A 26,773-nucleotide genomic window follows, 5' to 3' on the forward strand; every position below is an offset into this window, starting at 1 on the left:
GTTCCGGCGGGCGCCCAGGGCTACAGGACCACATTGCTAGAATGTGGCCAATACATGTTGGCCTCCAGAGATTTCTCTGCCCTCTCCTTTTGCCAAAACAAAATCTTCAGTTTTCACGGTCCTCTCAGACATCAGACTTCCAAAGGAATGTAATTTGAAGGCTTTTTTTTTTACTTTCTTTCGTTATCTGGAAGGACCTCTCCACAAACTGTTAATAATTATTCCAGCCAAATAATTTAGGAACAGCCATATGACTCAACAGAAGACAAATATTCTTCCGAAAACAAAAAATAAATGCTTGGCAGAAACGACCAATGTTAACATTTAAAACAATTTGTCAAATATCAGTAATACCATTTGTTCTAGTTGCGGTAAATCATTTTGAAAAGTGAAAAGATGTTTTTAAAGGCTCACATTTTCAGAAGAAGTGACATGCAAAGTCAAGTTAAACACAGTGTTTTGAAAGAAATGAGTGTGAGCTCTTTGGGGGTAAACCTAAATTTAGAAATTAATCTCTGAATCTGCTTTTTGGTTTCCTCTGCTGATGCCAAACATTGGTATTGTTCCAGACGTAGGCACCATTAAGACAATGGCAGTGATATTAGTGATGTTATTTTGTAATAGTTCTCATTTGGCCTTATCTAATAGTTATCATATAGCCTTTGTTCCCATATAGCCTTAATAGTTCTCACACAGGCTTGTTTTCCTTGCAGTTACATCACAGAAATGGCCTAACATAGCATCCCCCAGCTTACAAAGGCATACCTGAATGTTTGTGGGTGGTGCAACTTTTACTAACTTTCAGGATACTGCTCTTAAAATATACCTAATAATTAGGAATGATAAAGTTCGGTTGTGACCCAAAACTCCTAATATAATATAAATAGCTGGCATCAACTCGATGATTCAAACAAAACCTGGTATAAGATAAAAGTTGTTTTTTGTTGTTATTCTGTTTTACAGACATTAAAAAATGGCCCAGGGGTTATGCAGGTTCTAGGTTTGGTTCTTGCCTTTGGCAACTACATGAATGGAGGAAATAAGACTCGAGGACAGGCAGATGGCTTTGGATTAGACATTCTTCCAAAACTGAAAGATGTCAAGAGCAGTGTAAGTATTTTGCATGAGTGGACGTAAGCACATTGAGGAGTCAAGGTTTTGTTTAGTAATGGGTTTGAATGTAAAGCAGTTGTAAAAAATATTTATGTTCCTAGGTCAAATGCTTCTTTATGTTCTGAGCTAGAAAAAAGTAATGTCCATCAGATATTTGTGATTTTGTGATTAATGTTTCCTAAAGTGAATAATTTTCATTCTTATGTCTAATGTATAATTACAACTTTTTAATATAAAAACAATACAAAATAACTTTTTATATTGTTTTAATATAAAACAATAATTTCTTTTACCATATCTTTCCCATGTCTGCTAATATTTATCCTTTTGGAATCTGAAGGCTAATTATTTTCTATGAATTAGACAGTATATCTTTTTTTCTTTGTCATGTTAAGCAATGAAGGCCAATAGGTCCATATTTTGAAAATAACACAATGATGAGTAAAATGGCTTGTAAACAAAATATAAAAGGTGATTCTACTCTGCTGCATATGATTTTCTCCTTGATACTGGTGTGTAGGGGGATGTCTAAGCTCTCTTGCAGACCTAATCATTTTTTGGTACTACTTCTGCAGTTGTGTTTGTTTGAAATTAATGTCTAAGCAATTGTGAGAGTGCCAGTAGAAATATGAGGTTAGGAATGATGGTTAGAGTCACAGACTCAAGTCTGAGACGGTAAACTTAAAAAATAAAAGAGTTACATTTCTCTGATAAAAAAATCATCACACAAAAAAGTAGGATAAAGGAAATTCTGGACATGTTTTTGAAATATTAAGTTTAATAATTGGCTTGTAGAAATAAAAATATGTAGGACTGTCCTTCCTAGATAATGAAATAATTTCCTTCATGGGGGAGAGAGAGACTTTTAAAAATCTTTTCTGCCAGCCAACAATTTGTTTATTGTTTTATATACAGATGCTTCTCAACATAAAATGGAGTTATGGCCTGATAAACCCATCCTAAGTTGAAAATACCATAAGTGAAAAGTCATTCAATACATCTAACCTAGTAAACATCAAAGCTTAGCCTAGCCTGCCTCAAACATGCTCAGAACACTTACCTCAGCCTACAGTTGGGCAAATCATCTAACACAAAGCCTATTTTATAATAAAGTGCTGAATATCTCATGTAATTTATTGAATACTGTGCTGCAAGTGAAAAACAGAATGGTTGTATGGGTACTCGCAGTACAGTTTCTACTGAATGCGTATCACTTTTGTACCATTGTAAAGTCAAAAAATTGTAAGATGAAGCATCGGGAGTCGGAGACTGTGTCTCTGTGTACGTGTGTGTGTGTTGTCAAATTAATACAGATATTCATGCAATATTCTTTCATTGAGCATCTATGGAATGTGGACACTGCTCTTCCAAAATCGAATAATTCATAGTCCTTCCTTGGTACACCAGCAGCATATGATTTTTTTATTTTTATAATTGTTCAAATGCTCATGTGTATGATACACATTTTCATAGAAGTATCTACTATAGAGAGCTGATAAATTACATTTGTTAAAAAAAAAATGCTGAAGCCGAGTGCAATAGCATGAGCCCGTAATCCCAGCTACTTGGGAGGACTTTTCAAGGCCAACCTGGGCAATACAGTGAGAGCCCTTCTCAAAAAAAAAAAGAAAGAAAAGCCCTTTTCTTAACCTATGGTAATTCTTCAATACTCAGCAACTGCTTGTTGGAGTGAAACAACTTTTGCAAATAACATTGAAATCTATAGCATCAATATCATATTTAAATTATAGAAATGAACTGGAAATAGATTCTAGTGATCATATATAAATAAGAGATTATTTGTGGGACTTTTTTGGTATCAGTTTATATATCTTATTCAATCCTCTGTTAGGTTAAATTTCATTAATTTAAATAATCAAGAGGTAATCTAAAATAAAAATTTAAATATGTAATCAAGAAATACGTTTTTAAAATAGTTTCACTTGTACTCAGAAGAGCTATACAAAGTCTTCCTGAATTGGTTCTTTCTCTGTAAAACAAATGTAACTATATTTATTCCTTAGTACTATTTATAGACCTCCATGGACAGAGCTGTTACTTTGATCACTTAGAATTTTCTCTCAGCATGCCTAGTTTTGTTAATTGATTCAGGTGCTGCCAACCGTTTCATTGAATTACAAGTTGGGAGAGAGAAAGGAAGTCAAGTTGCTTAAATCATTTTACAAGCAAATCCTGTCTAATGAGGGATATCTCTAATAGCTACATTACTGACTCATGTCAAACTTGATTATAAAGAGGTTTTGCTCTTTTTACAAATATAGAAAAAATCGTGGTTATATTAAACATTCCAGAGAATGTAGTTTGTATCATAGGGTTTGTTTTTAAAGTAAAATATATACTTGAGCTCTCAAATTCAGATTATCTACTACTACTTTGGAACAATACAAAAAAAGAGTAAAATAAAAATTAATGCGCCTAAATAAACCAGAAAGGAGGTGAAAAGGTATTTTTGAAGTGTGTTAGATATGAAACAATTTTACCTTTTTTTAAATAGAAATATCCACATTGTCTTATTTATAACCACATGAGTGTTAACTCCTCAAATCTCAATTGCTGATATAACAAATTATAATATTGGAATTGTTAAAAGCTCCCCTTTACTTAGTATTGGAATGGTTAAAAGCTCCGCTTTACTTAAAATGATACTTAGCTTTTTTATTTCCCTAATCTATATGCTAATGAGCCTCAATCAAACTTACTGTTGGAGTGGTATCTGTTAGTCCAGCTATATATCAATGCTAAATTATTTCTTTTAATATAGTAGTTTTAAAACATAAAAAATTATCAAACAAAAACAATAAAAACACAAAATAATAAAATATACAAGACATGAGCTAAATTTCTAATTGAGGGGGGTAACAGTTGGAAAGTATTTACAGTTCAGACTTTGCCCCTAAATAGCTGTGCTAAGATTGGAACACTGGGGAGAAAAATCTTTTAAGCCACCAAACTCCTTAGACACAATGGCCAAGACAATCCAAAATGTAAAATTTCACATTTCATTCCAAATGTTCTCATGTATATACATGAATTCACTAGAATCTTTTTTGGTAACACTTTATATTTAATTAGTTAAAAAATATATTGTCACTGACTTTGGTCTTTCTGCCTAGGACAATAGCAGAAGCCTTTTGTCATATATTGTTTCGTATTATCTCCGAAATTTTGATGAGGTAAGACAATTTTTACATATAGTCATATTCCATTATTCTTTATTCGTTGGATGATTTGGCAGTACTTTTTGTTGTTGTTTTTGTTTTGGACATACCTGCTATTATTCTTTTTTATATTGATAACCAATTTCTTTAAATATGATGGGGTTTTTTGTTCATTAGGATGCTGGAAAAGAACAGTGCCTCTTTCCACTGCCAGAACCCCAGGACCTTTTTCAGGCCTCACAGATGAAGTTTGAAGATTTTCAAAAAGATCTCAGAAAACTGAAGAAAGACTTGAAAGGTAACTTAAAATCCTGAACTCATGTTTTCTGTTTATGCTTTTTTAATGAGAGAAGGCAGACTTTTCAATGTTTTTAGAGAAAAGTAATCTTTTTTATCTTTATAGAACTAAATTTGTGTGTGTGTGGCGAAAGAACAATTTTGCCTATATTCTTATTCTTTGGTTGTTTAAAAAGTTATGTGTATCAAAAATTTGGTTATTAAGTAATATCTTGGTTATTTCAATTAACAATCTGTCTTGTCAGGAATAAGTTTACATTTTGTTTTCATTTTATAACCAAGAACATTTTGGTATTGGTCATGTCATGGTTGGATACAAATTATGTCATTGTTGTAATAGAAGATAAATAGTCCTTCCCCATTTTCCCTTGGTGTACTTGCCCAGGATTTTCTGGCTTATGAACTTTCCTGGGAACAAAATATCTTCTACTTAAAAACCACATACATGTATATTGTTTTATTACCAGTCAAGCTTTACATAAAATTATTTTGAAGAATAATAGGCCGAAATTTTTCAAATTTCTAAATTAAAAGTAGCATTTACAAAAAAGCAAATAGTTTGCAGATTTTTTTATTTTGTAAGTAAAATTCCTGCTATCCCCTTTTCTTGATATTCTTATTGAGTTGCGAACACCTCAGCTGTCTATTTCAGCTTCTTTCTTGCTGTATTACATACAGATGAGAAGTAAATACATTTACCCGAGCTTTTGATTTGATATTGTGTTACTATATGAGAAGAAAAGGCCTGGTTACCCCTGTCCAGAAACCAAAAAGATAGAACTTTTTAAGAGACTCCCAATTTTGAGATGTGTTTATCCAAAGATACTGATCTGTAATCAAATTCATAGAGTTGTTATATTCTAGTTACAGGTGTTTTAAAATGGATTTCAGTGAGCATAGGGACATTATGTAGTGTGGTTATAGTTCTTATGTATTCAACAACATTTATTACGGACCTGGTTCATGGCAGACAGTTGCTAGGTGCTGTGGATCCACAAAGGTTACAGTAACCGCTGTTGAAGAGGGCTGAAATTCTGTCATTACATGTACCCTGTTGGAGCCTTACAAGTTGGTGCTCATTGACTGAGGCCAAGAAAGACTGCCTTGACTTGCTCTGTTTTTCATACAATAATAATAAATAAAACTATGTTACATTTGTATAATATTGTGGTACTGTGTATTTTAAGCTAAGAATGAATTCTTAAAGCAACAAAAAAACCCACTCATGCTATAGTATTATACTTCAACCTGATGACAGGCATCTTGGTTTGCTTATGAAATTTACACACACTATGATGTGTAAATGCTAGAGGCATTTCTAGGGGATCTGGAAAATACTTCCCACTTCAATCAATAGTTCAGTCTTGTAAAGTAGGATTTCATAGTTTACAGGTGATTTGATAAAGGAGCGGAATGGGTGACCCTATTATCAGGATATCAGGATTTATGTTTGCTTTCTGGAGTTGCATCACTTCGGAATGTGATCCCATTTTCTTATGATAAATACACAACTTCTTACTATAGGCATTAAACATACATGTAATTATGAAAATGGCAAGTTCTTGCAAGACTTGGAGCTAAAAAGAAAGACCTAGCTAACACCAGATAGTGGGTTTGAAAAGGACAAGCAGCCGGCCAGGCATGGTGGCTCACACCTGTAATCCCAGCACTTTGGGAGGCCGAGACAGGCAGATCACCTGAGGTCAGGAGTTCGAGACCAGCCTGACCAATATGAAGAAACCCCATCTCTACTAAAAATACAAAATTAGCCAGGCATGGTGGCACATATCTGTAATCCCAGCTACTTGGGAGCCTGAGGCAGGAGAATCACTTGAACCTGGGAGGCAGAGGTTGCAGTGAGCCAAGATTGTGCTATTGCACTCCAGCCTGAGCAACAAGAGCGAAACTCCATCTCAAAAATAAATAAATAAATAAGTAAAAATAAAGAAAGAAAAAGACAAGCAGCCAGCGCCTCTGAATACTATTTCCGCATCTGCATTTGCCACCTACAAGTGCTAGGTGCCTACATTTGGTAGCACAGAAGATTAGATATTGAAGGAGCATCTTAGCAATTTTTGAGTACCTCAGAGTTTAAAGAGAGGATTTTAACCCTGAAGGTTTACACTTTATGTCAGGGAAAGATGAACTTATTTTTCAGATATCATCAGACCTGTGCCCTTGGCCAACAATGATCACATTTGTCTGGCACAGTATTTTCCCCAATCTGAACACAGCCTGTTACAATTTGATAGAATTGTTGAAATGGGGAGTTTCATGACCAAATGAATGTTAAGTTAAAGTTAAAAGGACTTCATGGTATTCTCCAAAAAAAAAAAAAAAAAAAAAAAAAAAAAGGTGGTTGCAATTGTTTTCCCATTTATTACAGAGAACTTTTTTCACAGAATCTCTGGTGTGTTCTGTAGTCACTGAAACATATTTTGAGAAATGCAAGGCTGGTGTACTGTGTTAGTAACAGAAGAATGGCATTTACCTTTGAGGAACTTACAGGGAAGGTTGGAGAAATGATGCTATAGTTGATGAAATAATGTAATTATATATTACTCTTCTTAAAAAATGGAATCAGCTTGAAGAGCTATTTACAAAGCTGTCAAACTCTGAGGATTAAAAACTGACAAATCATAATTTACCTCATTTTTTTTTTGCTTTTCTCAATTTGGGGTTTTCCATGAAAAACAAGATGTTTTATGACTTGAGGAAGGAAATCTTATGGACTGAAATATAAATTCAGTTACTGGGAAAAAAAGATATACCCAAATGTAGAATTTCGTATCAACAACGCATGAAATCTGCCTCATGTCCTTTTTAGGAACGAGAGGGATATAAATAGATATGTACGTCTATCTGACTAAATGGGAGTCAAACGGAAAATTATTGGATTATGTTATTTTAGGAACAATTACTTTGAAATAATGTCTACTTTGATCAAAGTAGCCTATTAAAAATTATTCCTTTTCTTTTTTTTTTTTTTTTTTTTTTTTTAAGACAGTCTTGCTCTGTCACCCAGGCTGGAGTGCAGTGGCACAATCTCGGCTCACTGCAGCCTCTGCCTCCCCATCTCCTGGGTTCAAGCAATTCTCTTGCCTCAGCCTCCTGAGTAGCTGGGATTACAGGCACATGCCACCACTTCCAGCTAATTTTTTGTATTTCTAGTAGAGACAGGGTTTTGCCATGTTGGCCAGGCTGGTCTCGAACTCCTGACAAAAATGATTCCTTCTAAGTGATCAAGTGAGGGAATTCATTTAAGAAGATTCATATGGCCACATTTTGTTTCCCAGAGGCAAGTTGTTATAACAAGGTTTAGAAAATAGGATAACGTATAGAAAGCATTTATCTCAATACCTTTCATACAATAAATATCCAATAAATCTTGGCCATTCATAATAAGGTAAACATAGAATAAGCAGTGGGATTAGTTTGATAAAGACAGTTAAGCAATAATCATAGTAGCTCATCTGCTGGCTCTAGCACTTCTGTTTCTGCTTAGAGACTTGATTTTTATTTCTAAGGAAAGGCTGAAAAATAATGTGTTATGGCTCAGACATTTTAATGAGACGACTGAATCTCATTTTAGCATTTTATAATAACATCCACTGTGTTTAGTTTCTCTGCTCACTCCCAAGATTTCCATATTTCCTCAGGGTGCTTCCCTGGCTTTCTGAGCTCAGCGACTTGTAGTTCGTTAAGCAACCTGATCTGCTTTTGATCTCTTCTGGCTGTCAGCAGCTTTTCTTGATGTAGTCATGCCAAATGATGACTCTGTTCCAGTGCCTTTCTTGAATAGGAATTGTAGCATTTGCCACATGACTTAAATCAACTCAACATGCACGGAGCATTGAGTAATTAAGTTACCGGAACTGGATGAGAATGTTCTCATGCAAATTCTTCTCTGTATCCTCTTTCTTTCTGTTCTTCCTCCCTGTACTCACACACTCTCTCTCTTTTCAATATCTGAGTTGAAAACAAGTTTAAAATTCATCAACTATACCTTCAAGTTGAAGCAATGTCCATTTTCCAGAGATTTATAGGAAAAACCAGCCCTCAAACTAGTTTAGGGTTTATTTTGGCTTACAACTACTAGTTTGTAACTATTACATTTAAATTGTTCATTTCTGATATTTCCTTTTTTCCCCTTATGTTTGAGGACAGGAAACAAATAAGCTTTTTTAAAAATAACATTTTACAGTGGTCCTTCCCACCTATCCAAGGTTTTACTTTCCTTGGTTTCAGTTACCCACAGTCAACCTTGATCCAAAAATATTAAGTGGAAAATTTCAAAAATAAACAATTCATATGTTTTATGCTGGGCACTGTTCTGAGTGGTATGATGAAACCTCCTGCCGTCTACCTTCATCCCTTCCGGCACGTGGATCCTCACTTAGTTCAGCGTATTCATGCTGTATATACTGCCCACCTGTTCATCACTTAGGACAGTGGTCCCCAGCTTTTTGGCAATAGGGACCAGTTTCATGGAAGACAGTTTTTCCGTGGACAAGCCAGTGGGGGATGGTTTCAGGATGATTCGAGGGCATTACATTTATTGTGCGCTTTACTTCTATTATAATTACATTGTAATATATAATGAAGTAATTAAACAACTCATCATAATGAAGAATCAGTGGAAGCCCTAAACTTGTTTTTCTGCAACTAGAGAGTCCCATCTGGGGGTGATGGGAGACAGTGACAGATCATCAGACATTAGATTCTCCTAAGGAGCATTCAACCGAGATCCTGCACATGCGCAGTTCACGGTAGGGTCCTGGCTCCTATGAGAGTCTAATGCTGCAGCTGATCTGACAGGAGGCGGAGCTCAGGCGGTAATGCTTGCGATGAGGAGCGGCTATAAATACAGATGAAGCTTTGCTTGCTTGCTGGCCACTCACCTCCTGCTGGGTGTCCCGGCTCCTAACAGGCCGCAGACCAGCACCCATCTGTGGCCCAGGGGTTGAGGACCCCTGACTTAGGAGCCATCTTGGTTATCAGATCAACAGATCACAAAAAGGGTGAGTATAGTATGATAAGATGTTTTGAGACAGAGAGACCATATTCACAGAACTTTTACAGTATATTGTTATAATTGTTCTATTTTATTATTTTTTTTTAATCTCTTACTGTGCCTAGTTTATAAATTAAGCTATAGCATAGGTATGTGTATATAGGAAAAAGCATAGTATATATAGGTTTCAGTACCATCTGCTGCTCCAAGCATCCACTGGGGATCTAGGAAGGTATTCTCCATGGATAAGGGAACACTACTGTTTTATGATTTTTAAAAAAAATTTAAAAAAAATTTATTGAGGTAAAATATACATACAAAATTTACCATCTTTACCATTTTTAAGTTATATTTTAAAATTAATATCTGTTTAGCATAGGAACTTTAGACAACCTTGAAAAATGTAGAGAAGAAAACATTTGTATTTCCACAGTTCCATGATAAATAATGTTTATCTTTTGTTCTATCTGGTAGGTAGGTGTTTATTGCATGTGCATACATACATGAATTATGCAACTGGGATTATGATGCACATAATTTTTGCAATTTTTGTCCACTCAGTTTCTGGTCTATACTAGGATAATTTAATTTTATTTATTTACATATATATTCTATTAATATTTTCTTTCTGGTTGTCTATTTGATAAATTTTTAAATATCTCTTCCTAACACCTCCAATAACATTTAAGAAGATGTACATAGTATTCCTGTTAATTTACTGGGTAATCCTAAATGCTAACATATTTTGTATACTATACAATTTTATAACATGCTATAAATTTATGTAGTATATTTATTCTTCTAAATAAGATGAATGTTTTAGAACATTCTAACTAACAATTGAACTCCTTCTACTTTCTTTTCAGTTTTTTTCCAGACTTTGGGTACTGTCATTTTTCTTAAAAACATTACTGCTGTTTAATAATTATTAGGTAATAACATTTATGAATATATTTAAATAATTACTGTGCTATCATTGTTGCATCTTATATTCCTCCCCCCTCCACATTTGATGTTCTTTCAGTGTGAGTGAATGGGTGTTAAACTCTTAGTCCGGGCCGGGTGCAGTGGCTCACACCTGTAATCCCAGCACTTTGGGAGGCCGAGGCAGGTGGATTGCTTGAGGTCAGGAGTTCAAGACCAGCCTGACCAACATGGTGAAACCCCATCTCTACTAAAAATATAAAAATGAACCGGGCATGGTGGTGGGCGCCTGTAATCCCAGCTACTCGGGAGGCTGAGGCAGGAGAATTGCTTGAACCTGGAAGGCAGAGTTTGCAGTGAGTGAAGATTGTACCACTGCACTCCAGCCTGGATGACAGAGCGAGACTCCATCTCAAACTGAAAAAAATTGTTCCCCCTTGTTTTGGAATGATAGTTTCACCAGAAATAGAGTTCTAGACTGACTGACTTTTCATCAGTATTTTGAAGATATTTTTGTTTTCTTCTGGTACCTCTTATTTTCAATAATTTTCATTCTTTTGTAGATAAGCTGTCTTATCTCTGATGACTTGTATAATTTTCTCATTGTCCTTATTCATTTTTGGCTTTCCTTGGATAAGTATGGTATGAATATATTCTTTTAAAATTTTTTGTATTGCTCTGTACTTAGAACTTCCTATTAAAATACTGATGGCTTCCTTAATGTGTAGAAAAATTTCTCAGCCACTGTCTGCCCAAGTATTACTTCACTTTTCTCTTTTTTCCTGAAACTCCTTTTAGATGTACATTGGTCTAATCCCTGTTAGCCCCTTAATCTAATCCCCATGTCTCTAACATCTCTTTCATGTGTTTAAAATCACCTTCCACCTTTTGCTATTATCTTCATGCATTCCTCAACATTATCTTCTAATTCATTCATTCTCTCTTGACTCTGTTAATTCTAATGTTTATGTTATCAATGCAGTAAATCATAATAATTCTTGTTTCCAAGATATCTAATGTTTTTATCATATTCATTTTCCCTCTAATTTCTTATTCTTGTTTTGGATATTTATCTTCCTTTTATGTCATTGATATTTGTAAAAATATATTAAAGTCCTTTTCAGCTGTTGTTTCATCTGAAATGAATTCATCTTCCACTCAGTGATTTTATAAGTTGTCCTTCAGAGTCACTAGTTTCCTATGTGGTGTTAGAATGATGATTTTTATAAAGGTGTCAAGTTCACAGTTACAGATTGAACTGCTCGTTCTATTCTTTACCCCCTTCTCACTACTGCACTTGACTAGTCTTTAAAAAAAAAAAAGTCAGGAAATTATGGCCTATGGGCTAAACCTGTCCTCTTTTGTAAATAAAATTCAGTTGGAACACAGCCACGCCCAATCATATACACATTAGCTATGACTGTGTTTGTGTTACAACTGCAGAGTTGAAGAATTGTGATAGAGACCTTCTATCAGTGAATGTGTCCCTCCCTGACTCCCTTCTTCTGACCCCCAAAATCATTCACTGTCTTTTGATTTTTTTTCAATTGCTTTAACTTGGCCTGCCTTTGGTACCCAAGTCACAATCAAAGCTTCTAGCAGCAGCATAGAGCTCCTGCCCTGTGGGCATATTAGGTTTATTGTAGATCCAGTCTCCACACTAGTGAATGACTTGGCTGGGGTCTGGGCTGGGAAGCTGTGGCTACTTACTCTTGCTGCCCCAGGCATAGAGTTGCATGTGGGCTACAGCCCTAGGAAGCAGTGAATTGTAGGTGTTTTCATCCTCTTTGCATGAGTTTGGGAGACCAGTTACCACTCTGGGTTTCCAGTAGAGAGACTGGTTCCTTTCCCTCCTGTCTGTTCTCTCCCATCCCCAGTCCTCACATAAGCCAAGATCTTTATCTATTCCTCCACGATCATAGTTCGATGACTTCTACTTCCGCCCTGTTTATTAACTTTGGCTTCTCTACTATTTCTGGTCCAAGGAGATATTTACATTTTTTAAAAGCATACTATGTCTGCTTAGTTTCCTCTTTATATGTTACCGTTCACTGCTCTGTGTTTTCAACAGAGGGAAAGCTCAGGCTATAAATTGATTATAAGTTCTGTTTGACTGGAATTCTGTATTCACTTTTATATCTTACGTTTTTCCTCACTGAAAATTATAGCAGAAACATTTTTCCATACTATTTCATATACTTCAAAAACTGCTTAGGATGGTTTCATAATTCGTCTCATGAATGTGCTGTAGTTTAGTGAGTAATTTGATTCTTGTAGGAAATTAGACTCCTCCCAGTTTTCACTGCTCTTAAGTATATCATGTTGAGCATTCTTATTTATAGCCCTTTTAAAAGTTGTATCTCTGGTTGTTTCCATAATATAGATTCAGATTTATAATTACTGGATCAAAGGTAATGAACATTTTTTCAAGTTCTCGATATTACCAAATGTTATAAAAATACTTTCTAGAGGAAAACTGATGAATTTTATGGGTGAGTTGTTTCTTAAAGTAAAACAGAATAATAAAATTTATGAAATTTAGATTAGTAAAGAATCTTAGAGACATTGTGGTCTCATACCTTAATCATTTAACAAATGTTTATTAAATTAACAGAAAATAAAAAGTAGATTCTTTCCTCATAGCTCATAGACTAAAAAGAGGACTGTTGATGATATGAATAACCACTATACAGTATACAATTTTTTTTCATTATATGGAAACACAGAAGTAGTAGTTATTAGGTATACTTGGAAAATTATATTTAAATTGGACTTCGAAAGATCTGTAAAATTCTCCCAAGAGGAAAAAAAAAATAGTATTTCAAGCATGGGAAAGAGCATGAGCAAAGTTACCTATCCTGTGACCATTTGGACTTTGATTATTTACTGGTTCCTGATCCCAGAAGTCTCTCAATTCATATCAGGTATATATCTAACAGATATAAAATATTCAAACCTGAGACGGGGCTCATTGCAGTGGAATTCACAACCAGGGTGAAGACTGTGCGCATATGTGGTTTGAAAAAGCCTCCCAGCCAGTAATTCTGATATGTCTTTCAAAGTAGCTTGCTATGACTACTCTGTGTCACTGTTTTACATGCATTAGCTCATTTAATCCCTATGCCATAGATAGGATCATTAATCCTCTCTTTAGTGATTGCATAACTGCAAGTTAGAGATAGTAAATGCTCTACAAAAAGTCACATAGTGCAAGCTGAGGCTGGATCTGGGCCTGAGGAAGCTGATCCAGAGCTCACCCTTTTAACCCCAACACAAACACCGCCTCCTTTTGGGGTTCACTGCGCAGAACCCTTCAGGGAAGGTTGATAAGCCGAACATACAGATATAATTGCACTGAAGTATAGTAACAACCGTGATAAAATAGGAGCAGGGAGCAGAGTGGAAAGTGAGCCTGATTCTATCTAATTGGTTAGAACAGGCTTGAGTTAGGTAGTACCATGAGAACTGAGCCATGAATATAAATACTTTACCAGGTGAACAAATTTATGCAAGAAAATTTGAATAGATGAGCCACCAAGTTCAATGAGATGAAATTAATGCATCTTGGAATTTGCAGCAATCTGACATGATTCAAATACTGGCTGAGTACAGAGAAGTAGAAAGCAATAAAGACATAGACGTACGTAGTGAGCAGATCAATCTCACATAGACAGGCAGGAAGATTCTGAGTGGACAAGGGGTGTGTGTTTGATTGGGTCGGCGGGGAGTATTTGGAAGGAAATGGAGGAGGAGAGAGAGAGGCATTTCAGGTAGAGGAAATGTCCCAATGCCCCAGCATTCTTAGAACACAGTGACCATGAGATGATAGAAAATGTTTTCTGATTATAGAAACTCAACAAACTTCTATACTTTATAAGGAATTTTCATTTTACTCTAAATGCAATATCCAGCCATTGAAATAGTCTATTCAGGGAAATGGAGTGACATGATTTATGTCTTGAAAGTACTGCTCTGGCAAGAGGAGAATTTGTGAGACCAGTTTGGAAACAATTGTGATTTTGACAAAGGAGGGAGACAGAGGAGCTGGGAAGAGCTAAACAAATCTTTCTATTTTTAGGGACAGTCAGTGTTCTAGATAGTAACTGTTTAGAATTTTCTGTAATCTATGTATAAATGCTTCTTAATAAAATTGTGTCATTCCATGATTTCCTTCAAGTCAATAGTATGTAGGTTACTGTGATGTTTTGCTGTTTGAGATGTCTGCATTTCTTTCCAGAAGCTTTGAAAGAAACATTTTCATTTGTGATTTTTTTCCCAAAGTTGATAAGCCTCAAGTATTTCTCTTTCTCCTCACTCCTTCCTCCACACTAACATGTATGTGTACTCTATTTAAATCAACATTTTTCAGTATTCTTTGACTTTTTTAAACTATTAGTCTCAAAATATACATTACTTTCAGTGGTGATTTTGCCATTGGACAGGAGAATTAATGAGAAGAAAATTTTTCAAATCATTCAAGTCATTAGTCGTTGAATTCTAAGATTTGATGCCATTTATATATATTAGAAAAAATAACAAAATTGTATTTTCTCCTTTTTACTGATTGCCTGCTGTTCTGACCCAGCTGTCTGGTGAAAACTGCAGCTAATTAAAGGTGATTACTTCCCTGTCATTTTGAGTTAAAGTACATTTTATTTTATAAATTATCTGTGATTGTGTTACAGTGTGTACTTTGCATACTTTGCACAAATGTTTGCTTTTAAAGCAATAGTCAACTTAGTTTAATGCAAAGCCATGAGATTCTGTTTCTTTCAGGGACCTGGTATAAACAAATTATCACATAAAAACATGGTCTACACATATGTGATACAAGTTTACCATGAGATTATAGTCATTTACAATAGTTTTCATGAGAATGTTTCATTCTCATAACTGAGTCATTTCTTTTTCCATTTTTAATTGGCAAACTGCTCATTCTTCTAGATGATTCAGCTAAAATGAATATACTTAGCTAAAATAATTCTTCTTCAGCAAGGCTGTCTGATGAACTTGCCCTACAGGAGAACCTTGACAAAGATTCACTGATAGCCACATAAACAGTGATTTGCAGCAGTGCCTGACAACATGTTAAATATGAGAGTGTAAATGTCAATAACTTTTCAAATCATGCTGAGAATTTCATCTTGGTCAGTATGTCTGGTGATTGGTATTCTTTTTAAAACTGTTAAAAGTCAGAGAATGTGAAATATTGGCAAAGATGTAGATTGGTGAGAACGCTTTTACACTGATGATAGAAATGAAAATTGATTCGATCCCATGAGAAACCATCTGGCAATATCTTTTTTTGTTGTTTTTGTTTTTGAGACAGAGTCTTGCTCTGTCGCCCAGGCTGGAGTGCAGTGGCCTGATCTCGACTCACTGCAACCTCTGCCTCCTGGGTTGAAGCAATTCTCTTGTCTTATCCTCCCAAGTAGCTGGGATTACAGGTGCTGATTACAGCATGCACCACCATGACCGGCTAATTTTTGTATTTTTAGTAGAGACAGGGTTTCGCTGTGTTGGCCAGGCTGGACTCGAACTCCTGGCCTCAAGTGATCCACCTGCCTCGGCCTCCCAAAGTGCTGGGATTACAGGCGTGAGCCACCACACCTGGCTATGGCACTGTCTTATTAAGTCAAAAATGTCTATACTCTGACCCAGCACTTGGCCCCTAGATATATACTCCAGTGCACAGGTGACCAGGTGAAATAAAAATGGCATTCATATTGATAGCAACAGCACCAAAACCCTCAGATATTTTTCAACAAAATAATAGCTGAGTGAATTATGGTATCTTCTTTCAAAGGACATCGGTTGAACTGTCAAACTGATTGAACTGTATTTACCTGCATTAAAAATGGGTAAATCTTATTAACACAAGCTTGAGGAAAAGCAAGTTGTAGGAAAAATATGAACAGTATGATTTCAGTTTTTAAAGTTCAAATATATAGACAAGTACAGTAGTCTCCCCTTATCTGTGGGGAGTAAGACCCCCAATGAATGCCTCAAGCCACGGATAGTACCAAACTCTATATGTACTATGTTTTTCTTATGCATACATACCTATGATAAAACTTAATTTATAAATTAGGTTCAGTAAGAAATTAATAATAATAATAAAAATAATTATAACAATATACTGTAATAACAGTTATACAAATGTTGTATACAAATATTATTTGTATACAAAAGTTATACAAATGTGGTATCTCTCTCTCTCTCCCTCTTAAAATGCGGTAATATTTTCCGACTGTGCTTAACCATTGGTAACTGAAACCACAGGAAGCGAACCCATGGATAAGGGAGGGCAACTTCACTTGTTTAGGGATAGCCGGGGGATGAGAAACACAAAGTTAAAGGTTGTAGTTACCTCTGGGCCTGAGAGAGGGACAGAGAGAAACACACTGAATTTTTCCAAAGCATTGGCTATGTTCTGCTTCTTAAACTGGAAATGTAGTAGGTGAATATTCATTTAGTCTTTACATGTAACGTACATGTTATGTATGCTCCGTAGTACTTCTTTAATAATCGTATACAAGAGGAAAGAAAAATAGGCAACCAGTCAGGAATATGTTTGAATTTGAGTTGATATTTAGTCCCACAAATTTAAAATATGTGACTGCTCAGCCTTTCCTATACTTTATGAAGAAATTATATAACAGCATATTCAAAAATAAGCATCATTAAAGAACATAAGAAATTTAAAGAACAAACTATGTTTAAGACTTTATATATTTGCGCATGATGGTGCTAATAATATAAAACTTATTTGGGAAAAACAATCTGAGAAACTGGCATATTTTATGGTCAACAATTCAAACAGATATTATGTATAAGCAATTAATAAATTAGAAATAATTTCCAGTGTCAGAAAGCTGTTGAGTACTTAGAGAAACATAACCCATTAATTTTGGTTACTGCTTCTACTATTTCTGTGTGAAGTTGGGGAAACAAAAACCACATTTACTATTTTAATAGCAGTAATTTAACATAGAGAATGAAGTTAAACACACGTTGAAGGATGTTAAATGCAGAAAGAGGATGCTGAGGAAAATGTGGAAAGCGTATACCATCCGTACGGCCAGGGGAATAAAGTGAAAATGTTGGGGTTAGCAAAGAATCATGTAACTACCTGAAAACTACAGCTGGACGTTCCACTGACATCTGAAACCTAGTGAGTTCAAAACCAAATGCATTTTCATTCCTCTGAAACCTACTCTTCTTCCTCCATCTCCATCTCAAAGCCACCCAGACTCTATATCCATTCGGAATCCTCTGTTCTCCTCCCGACAGCACTCATCAACGCACATTAGAATCTCCATGTGAGCTTTCTATGAGCCTTGTCGTGGAGATTACTTTTCTTTTTTACTTTATATCTTGGGGTTTTCTTCAACTTTTATTTTAGAATCGGGGGTACATGTGCCTTTTTGTTACAAAGATGCTAAGGTTTGGGGTAGGAATGATCCCCTCACTCAGGTAGTAAGCATAGTACCCAACAGGTAGTTTTTCAGCTCTTTCCCCCTCTGTCTCTCCCCACTCTAATAGACCCCAGCGTTGATCGCGCTCATCTTTATGTCTGTGTATACCCAATGTTTAGCTCCCACTTGTAAGTGAGAACATGTGGTATTTGGTTTTCTGTTTCTGCATTAGTTCATTTAGGATAATGGCCTCTAGCTGCATCCATGTTGTTGCAAAGGACATGATTTTGTTCTGTTTCATGGCTGCATAGTATTCCATGGTGTATATGTACCATATTTTCTTTATTCATTCCACTGTTGATGGGCAGGCACCCTGGTTGCTTCCATGTTTTTGCTATTCTGACTAGCACAACAATGAACATACAAATGCATGTGTTCTTTTGGTAGAACAATTTATTTTCCTTTGGGCATATATACGCAGTAATTGGATTGCTGGATCGAATGCTAGTTCAACTCTTAGTTGTTTAAGAAGTCTTCAAGCTACTCTCCACAGTGGCTGGACTAATTTACATCCTCATCAACAATGTATAAGCATTTCATTTCCTCTACAGCCTTGCCAGTATATGTTGTTTTTTTTACTTTTTTTTTTTTTTTGGAGATAGAGTCTCACTCTGTCACCCAGGCTAGAGTGCAATGGCATGGTCTCGGCTCACTGCAACCTCTGCCTCCCGGGTTCAAGTGATTCTCGTGACTCAGCCTCTCAAATAGCTGGGATTACAGGCACCCGCCACCATGCCCAGCTAATATTTTGTATTTTTAGTAGATACAGGGTTTCGCCATGTTGACCAGGTTGGTCTCGAACTCCTGACCTCAGGTTATCCGCCCACCTTGGCCTCCCAAAGTTCTGGGATTACAGGCATGAGCCACCGCGCCCAGCCTATTTTTTTTTTTTTTTTGACTTTTTAAGAAAAGCCATTCTGACTGGCGTGAGATGGAAAGAGATCACTTTTCAAAATGACTTAGGTTGGAGCCCTGTCAGGTACATTCTGAAAAGAGTCCCCAGTTGATTCTGAAGTTTACATCTTCATGAAGGAGCACTGACCTTCCGTTCAATTACCAAGCTCTGCAAATTTTACCCCCTAAATATTTCTTGTGTCTGTATCTTCCCTTGTCTGAATTTAACTCTCGCTTTTGTCAGTACATATACAGTACTTGTGAAAGGTAGTGAGGCCAGACATCAATGTTTTTACTGTTTCTATGTTTTTTGTTTGTTTTGTTTTGCTTGTTTGTTTGCCTCACTACATGGAGTGACTGGGTTTTCTCAAATTATTTTCCCAGTGTCCGGTCACTAGCTCTGTGGATATTGAGAGGCAGAGTTGGTGCACAGGGCAATGACTGATTTGATGGTGCAGACTTAACAAGTAAGGTTTGAGTCTAAAACCAAAAGTCGAGCCTGTGGTACCTACCACACAGCATAGGTCCTGACTGTGCCATATATAGCATGCCCCTGGTGGGCTGATTTTATAGTTTTTGTTCTGGGAGTCATTTTTGGAGACCAAGTGTAGAGCCCAATGTCTGTGCACTTACACCTACTTTGCAAGCATCTTGCTGCCTACATTGATCTGCTTTAAGTGGCTACAATGGTGTCTGTTTCCTAAAACTGAACCCAGAATAATGTACAAACCAGGCTTACGTGGGAAACAGTTGGATTTTAGAAGAAAGCTTTCTGATCTGATTACAGTTATTTCTTTTCCTTTGTATCTGTTATGTGACTTCCTTCCTACTTGCTGAGGCTGGTTTGTAGATGCCAATGAAACTTTCTGGAAGCTCACAGAAAAGCAGCAACTCTAAGCTGTGATTAACATTGATTGAACTTGTAGACTTGTATAAATTATTCCAATTCCCTACTCAAAAAAAAAATAGCCAGACTCTTCATGATCATGGTTCATTCCAGGGAGTGGCATGTCATGTCCTTGCTTTAATCTGACAGTGATAAACTGGTGTTTGCCCCACAACGTGCCACTCTGTGGATGGCATGGATGTATTGGAACCCATTGTCTGGTGGGAATGTCTGACATTTTTCTTTCTTTCCTCTGGCTGGGTTATTCTTTGTATTTGGAAACCTAATGCATGCTTTCTGATACTAGCCCTTCAACATGATATAAAATCTTTTTGACTCAGAGAAGTCTTTAAATTAAACAAAAGTTGAGATGATTGGAATTACTCGGTTATGCCAACAGTCTCCTAACAAATGTTTTTTAATATTTGGATTTGACTGCAATGCAAGTTTTCCAGGAACTCTATCTTTGTTCTGTTTTTAATAATGTTTCTAAATGACCCTTCAAGTTTGTGAGATTGTAGTGTTCGGTATTTTTTTTTTTTATTTACATAGTCACATACCAATTTTGAGGATGATAAGTAATAGCCAAGATGATATGTTGTGCAACTTGATGTGCTACAGTTAAGAGAAGAATGGTGTCCAGTCTTCTAAATATATTCCTTATATGTAAGCACATTGAGCATATTTATATGTGGCATTGTGTATGTACAAAATATATGAGAGTTATGAATGTAGAAACTCTAGAACGTGACATTCTATTTTTACATTTATCCAACAGGCTCTTCCTTCTTAATATAGTGAATAAGTAAAGCAACAATTACCAAGAAATAACTGTACAGGTTTTATATCACACTGAGCTTTGGAAATTTGGATGTGAGTTTTGGTGGTTTACCTCAGTGACCACTGGAGACTTAATATCCCTATTAAGGAAAGCCTTGGCCTTGATTATGGGCATCATTGAAAGCACTTTCTTTCATACAGGGTCTTAGTACTTCCTCTGCATTTCAGACACTTGACACACAGAGGTGAATAGGATAGCCCTTGGCTTCAAGGAATGCAAATTATAATCAGAAACAAAGATACACAAACAAATACATTCAATGAAATAATATAATTAACAGCTTTTTTATTTTTAAAAGAGTTTTCTAACAGCCAGCTTAGCACTTTAAGTTCAACTTCCAGTTGAGGCTGAGATAATTTAAGTAGCTAGCCCAAGATTACAGAGCTAATAGAAGAACTGGACTTGCATCCAGATCCGTTTAACCAGTGCTTTGATTCTATCCTATATCATTTGTACGTGTTCTGTAGAAAAGGGAGATGCAAAGTTGAGGGGAGATTGACCCTCTTGTCTTGAGGTAACAGTTGAACCAGACTCTGGGAATGGATAAGTAGAAGTTCAAAACTGGTCATTAAGTGGTGAGAGTATGTCTGGTGGGTGAATAGCATGGGGAAGGGTTGGAGAAATGTGCATAAGCAAGACATTTTGCAGATAAACAAGAAGCTCACTATGACAGGAAGATACAATGAAATTATTTATTCATTCCACAAAGAACTGTTGAGTGCATATTGCCTGTGGGAGATTATTCTAAGTACTGGTAATACAGCAAAGTGAGTAAATGGAGACTGTCTCATAGGAGATGAGAGTAGAGAAGAAATCTATCCTCAAAACAAGCAGACTTGTTCTGTGACTCATTAAATACCTGAACTATCAGTGGTGGACTTTTAAAAACATCTTTTTACTTTGTAATGGCACAAGTATTTGTGTGACTATATCCAGCATATTTTAAAGCAACCTCCAGACATGTCATTCCGCAGGGGGTGCACTGTAGAGAGATATTTACTCAGTATACAGTTGGGAATTCTAATATTTTGAGCTGCTTAGTAAGGAAAAAGCTGCCCAGAAGCAATAAGAATGCACATGACTTGAAACACCCAGACACTGGACAGGTGCGTTTCATGACCTTCTAGAAGGAGGACTGTAGATGAGGTGAGGCTGCCAGTAAATGACTTTACAGTTTTTCTAGAGCTGAAATTCTACATGTTTCCCAGTGTGCACAGGAAATTCTATAAATTAGGGGGAAAAGGTAGAAGAAATAGAAAAAATAGTTTTTGCATGCATTGATGTTACAAATACAGTTCATATGAATGGCCCAAGGACATCGATAAAATTAAGTGAAAATTAATTTAAAATAAGGAAAATTATTATAGCATGCATTTTCTTATCTGTTGAATGTTCTATTGTTTCAACATTAGAGTAAAAATGAAGACCCAGAGGATGGTTGTCACCATGTAGAAGACTTTGTCACAGCCAGTCTGTGATCTTTCTCTACTTCCCCAGCTAATGAAGTCCTCCTTTAAGTCACCAGACCCAGTAGATGATTCTGGAAGTTTCTAGTGTTAGCGTGTTCATACAGGATCCTAGACCCCAAGACACTGTATGATGTCATGGGTGTGTATGATGTCATGGATGTGTATGATATCATGGATGTGTATGATATCATGGATGTGTATGATGTCATGAATAAAAGGACAGTTATTACTTCTACTTTTTAACTTAAAAATGGAAAATGAAATAATTGTGACCAGTAATGAAAATATTAGCCTTCCTTGCCTCTGGCTTTTAGGTTTTGCAAATCAGTCAAGGTGAGAGATTAGATTTTTTTTTCCCTGCTAGCCTACGTTATTAAACATGAGGCTAATAGGATTTTACTTTCCTCATTGGGATTGAAAAGTCACTACTTGAAGACTGTAATGTAGTAGAAGACAAGCTCGCTGAGGACAGGGGTTTTGTCAGTTCTGTTCGTGGCAGTCTTCAGCACCTAGAGCAGTCCCTTGAATCAGTAGATAGTTGATCGATATCTGTGTCATGTGTACGTTAGAAACTGCTCAGAGGCCGGTAGTAATCTCAGCACTTTGGGAGGCCAAAGCAGGTGGATCACCTGAGGTCAGGAGTTCAAGAACACCCTGGCCAATGTGATGAAACCCTCTCTCTACTAAAAATACAAAAATTAACAGGGCGTGGTGGCAGGCGCCTGTAATCCCAGCTACTCGGGAGGCCAAGGCACAAGAATCGCTTGAACCGGGAGATGGAGGTTGCAGTGAGTCAAGATCGTGCCACTGCACTCCAGGCTGGGCAACAGAGCAAGACTTTGTCTCAAAAAAAATTTAAAAAAAACAAACTGCTCAGAGACTTTTGGGAACACTGTGTCACCTGACGTTGCTAGAAATAACCCACTGAAATGATAAGGGCTGTTAAATCTCGGCCTCATTTCTTTTAAGTGATGTAACTTGTCTTCCATATATTCAGTATCCTTACACAGTTTTAGGAAACTCTCAAATTTATGACATGATTTAAGTATATCCTTAATATGCATCTGGAAACATTGTTAAAGAGCAGAATTTCCAGCCACGTGAGGCTGTCGTAAATGATACAGCCCACAGGAAGTTGACTACGGATGTCTTGTCATCTGACCCATCCCTTTCTACATTTCTGACAAGCAGTCAGCTACTTTCTGAATAATCCCAGTGACAAAGGGCTCACCCCCTCAGAAGGCAGGTTACGTCACTGTAGGAGTTCTGTAAACACTAGCCATCCCTGTTAGGTAGAACTAACATCTCTCTCTAACTTCTACTCATGCAACTTCCTCCTTCCTTGAGATCAACACAGAGAATGTCAACACCCGGTCATTCATGAGACCACACTTCAGCTCTTTGAAAACAGCTACTGTATTTTATCTTACACTTCCTTAGGCTGAACTCCACTTGGTCTTATAAAAACAATAGCAGCAATAGCTACTGTTTTTTGTGCATGTACTTAGCCAGCACAAAGTCAGTTTCAGGCATTTTACACTCATAGTGGCTGATCATCACACTAACGTTAGAGAATTCATTAAACTCACTACCATATAATGCAACTAAGATCCAAAAATGTTAGGTAATTAGCCCCAAATCGTAAGGCACATTCAGTGGATGGGTGACCTGGAATTTAAACCCTGTCTGCTAGATTCCAACATCTAGAATGTTATTTCCACTTAAGTAACTATTTATACAGCAACTAACCCATCCAACAGCAATTTATTGCCTAAGTCAGGCACAAATGGAAATAAGATGGATTTCCTTTCAAGTAGCTCAGTCTAGTGGGGCAGAAGACACATAGTTACAAATAACTTTAATATAGTGTGGTAGTTGATATTGAATCCCACCTCCTCAACTTGTGAACTATAGAAATGTGGGCAATCTCTTTGTAGTTCATTTTTCGCTGATGTAAAGTAAGCATATTAATCATCTACTTCAAAGGGTTTTATGAGGATTGAATGGGACAGTACAGGTAACATGCTTAATGTGCTCCCTGGCACATAAAAAGTACTCAGTACATGACAGCCTTAACTCTGTATGCACAAGATGCCCTGGAATCACCAAAGAAGGACGCCTCATCCTGCTTGGAGACAAGTGGCAGGGAATGGAGAAAAGCAGGCCCTGTGGGGAGGTCAGGGAATGCTGTTCAGGGGCAGTTACATCTGGAGATTAACATTTGCATTGAGTCTGCAGAAGATATCAGGACTAGAGGGAGATGGATGGTTTAAAAGTTGGCAAGGTCTACATTGTAGCGAGTGCTACAAATCATGGTGTAGGCTTTGCAATTCTTCCTGTATTCAGGGTGTAGCTGAGAGGGCAGAGGTCACTGAACAGTTTCAGGTTAAGCGGTTGGGTCTCTTCTGGATGGCTTTTTAAGGCTGTGAGGAGGAGCATGGATCTGTGGAAGACTGGAGATGAGAAGCCAAGGGTAAGAGGTTTTCACAGTAGCCTCAGTAGGAAAAATGAAGGCATTTGTACCAGCATAGAACAGGAATGGAGAGGATAGGGCCAACTGAAGAATGGAGGCAAAAACAACAGGATGTTGGAATAAAGAGAGGGGGTTGAGAATAAGTCTCCTGTTTTGGCTCAAGTTATGTAGGTCAGGTGGTGGCACCACCAATGAAGGGAGAATAAGGGAGGTGGCAGGTTTAGAGAAGTCTGTGAGGAATTCTGTACTGGTGGAAGTTTCATATGTTGAGTCTGGAGCTATGAAATACATGGGCTATAGATACAGGTTAGAAATTCTCCAGCATCCAGCCTGCAAGAGGCTACCTGGGCACAGGTGAGGGATGAGAAGCAGACGGGCAGAGAGAACCCTGGATCTGCCTACGCTGATCTTAGATTTTACTAAGCCCAAAGTCATCCACATTTGCTGGGAAGGATGTGCACTAATAATACAGCCTTCCTAGATTCCCATGCTTAGATAAACTAATGACCTGGAAGGGAAAAAAGAGGACACTGTAGCTTTATAAAAGAAAGAAAATATATTAGAAATGCAATGACAAAGTCTCCTGGGAGAAATGGCAACCTTACCTTAAGAACTGTAGTGAGAGGTTTTGGGGATTTTTTTGTTGTTGTCGTTGTTGTTTTTTTTTGCATCAGATGTGTTCTATCCAAAGTTTTGTGTTTAAATATGTACTTTTCATTGTTGAATTACTTCCTTACTGGCTCCGGTTTCTTGCTATTACCAAAATGGCAGACATTTCTTCAGAATCTTCTTAGAGGTACTTCTCAATATTAACCCAAATGGAATCTGTAGACTACCTAAGACATTTATGATGCCACAGGCATGAAAAGAGGATAAACTTTGGTGTTAGATCAGGATTTCAGTTATGAATTTGCTGCATATTATCTGTGGACTCTTGGGCAAATTAGTGCCTTATTTGAGCCTTAACTTCCTCAGCTATAAAAGGAGGTAATAAGTCTACTTTATGGGCTTCATTCTAAGGATTATGTTAAATAATGGATAAAATGCATCTGACATGTAATAGATGCTCTACAATTATTGGATGCTATACTAACATTACCACCCATGTTATTATTTATTATTTTTCAGAAATCTGGTCTTTAGGAATAAACTTTTATTATAAGTCAGTTGATACTGATGATGATGGTGATGATGATAGAAAATAGTTACATATTGCTTTACTCTGTGCCGGGCATTATTCTAACACTTCACGTCTCTTCACAGATCTGATCCTTATAACTGCACAGTGAGGCAGGCTCTGCTATCATGCCCATTTTACAGATGAAGAGACTGAGATTTAGAGGTTATATAACATGCCCAACTGATTGGTTTGGGAATAATCAAACTGAGATTATAAATTCTGCATAATTTCTTTTTACAGCCCTCTAAAAGGAAGCCTTGATCATCGGCTTCTCATGTCCGTATTTGGATGTTTCCAAAATGTGTGCAGAACATATGCTGATTAGGGGAGTTAACAGAATTTTCTAACATTAGCTAAGATGTTTTCAAAATTGCCTTAATGCTCCACTAACAGTGTGACACTCTAAATAATGTTCTGTCTAATTTCAGCCTGTGAAGTTGAAGCAGGGAAAGTATACCAGGTCTCCTCAAAAGAGCATATGCAGCCTTTCAAGGAAAACATGGAACAATTTATTATTCAAGGTAAATTCCAAAGAGATGTGTTATGTTTTTCTCCCCTTTCAGCAAAAAAAAAAAAAAAAAAAAAAAAAAAAAAAAAAAGCTACAAGGCATTGTTTAAAAAATACATATTGCTTTAAAAGGGCTTATTTTGACATTACAGAAAAACAGATTAAGTTGAATTATGAGTCACAGGGTTGTAAGAGGCTAGCAATTTGATAAACATGCTATTTGTGGATAATGCTCATTATTAATGTTTGTTTGCTTGCATGACAGTATATACACTAGATATTAGTTAAAATAGCTCATCTTTTAAAAGACATTAACAATTCTGTGCTTTTTGTGATAGAAAATTAGATAGTATTATTTTACATTTTAATTGTACTGATGAGCTCATTTCAACCTGGTATTTATTTGGCTTGTCAAAACATTGTACCCAGGGAACAAACTATATTGATGTTGTTCGGATCTTCAGAGCATTATTTGCAGTTTTTTTAATGGGATACGCCAATACCTCTGGATATTCAA

At 36.5% G+C, this 26,773-nt stretch overlaps 1 protein-coding gene across 5 annotated transcripts in view; it reads left to right on the forward strand.

Moving 5' to 3' along the window:
- The window catches only part of FMN2 (formin 2), a 383,305-nt gene that overhangs the window by 237,757 nt on the left and 118,775 nt on the right, over positions 1-26,773 (forward strand). For 4 of the 5 annotated variants that reach the window (NM_001305424.2, NM_020066.5, XM_017001841.3 and 1 more), the window contains 4 exons: positions 964-1,110; positions 4,248-4,307; positions 4,470-4,590; positions 26,177-26,269. In NM_001305424.2, coding sequence (NP_001292353.1) covers positions 964-1,110; positions 4,248-4,307; positions 4,470-4,590; positions 26,177-26,269 — 421 coding nt within the window. The remainder of the gene's footprint in view (positions 1-963; positions 1,111-4,247; positions 4,308-4,469; positions 4,591-26,176; positions 26,270-26,773) is intronic. The other variant, NM_001348094.2, reaches the window with a different exon arrangement.

This window comes from Homo sapiens, chromosome 1 (assembly GCF_000001405.40).
Source record: "Homo sapiens chromosome 1, GRCh38.p14 Primary Assembly".
Classification (NCBI taxonomy): domain Eukaryota; kingdom Metazoa; phylum Chordata; class Mammalia; order Primates; family Hominidae; genus Homo; species Homo sapiens.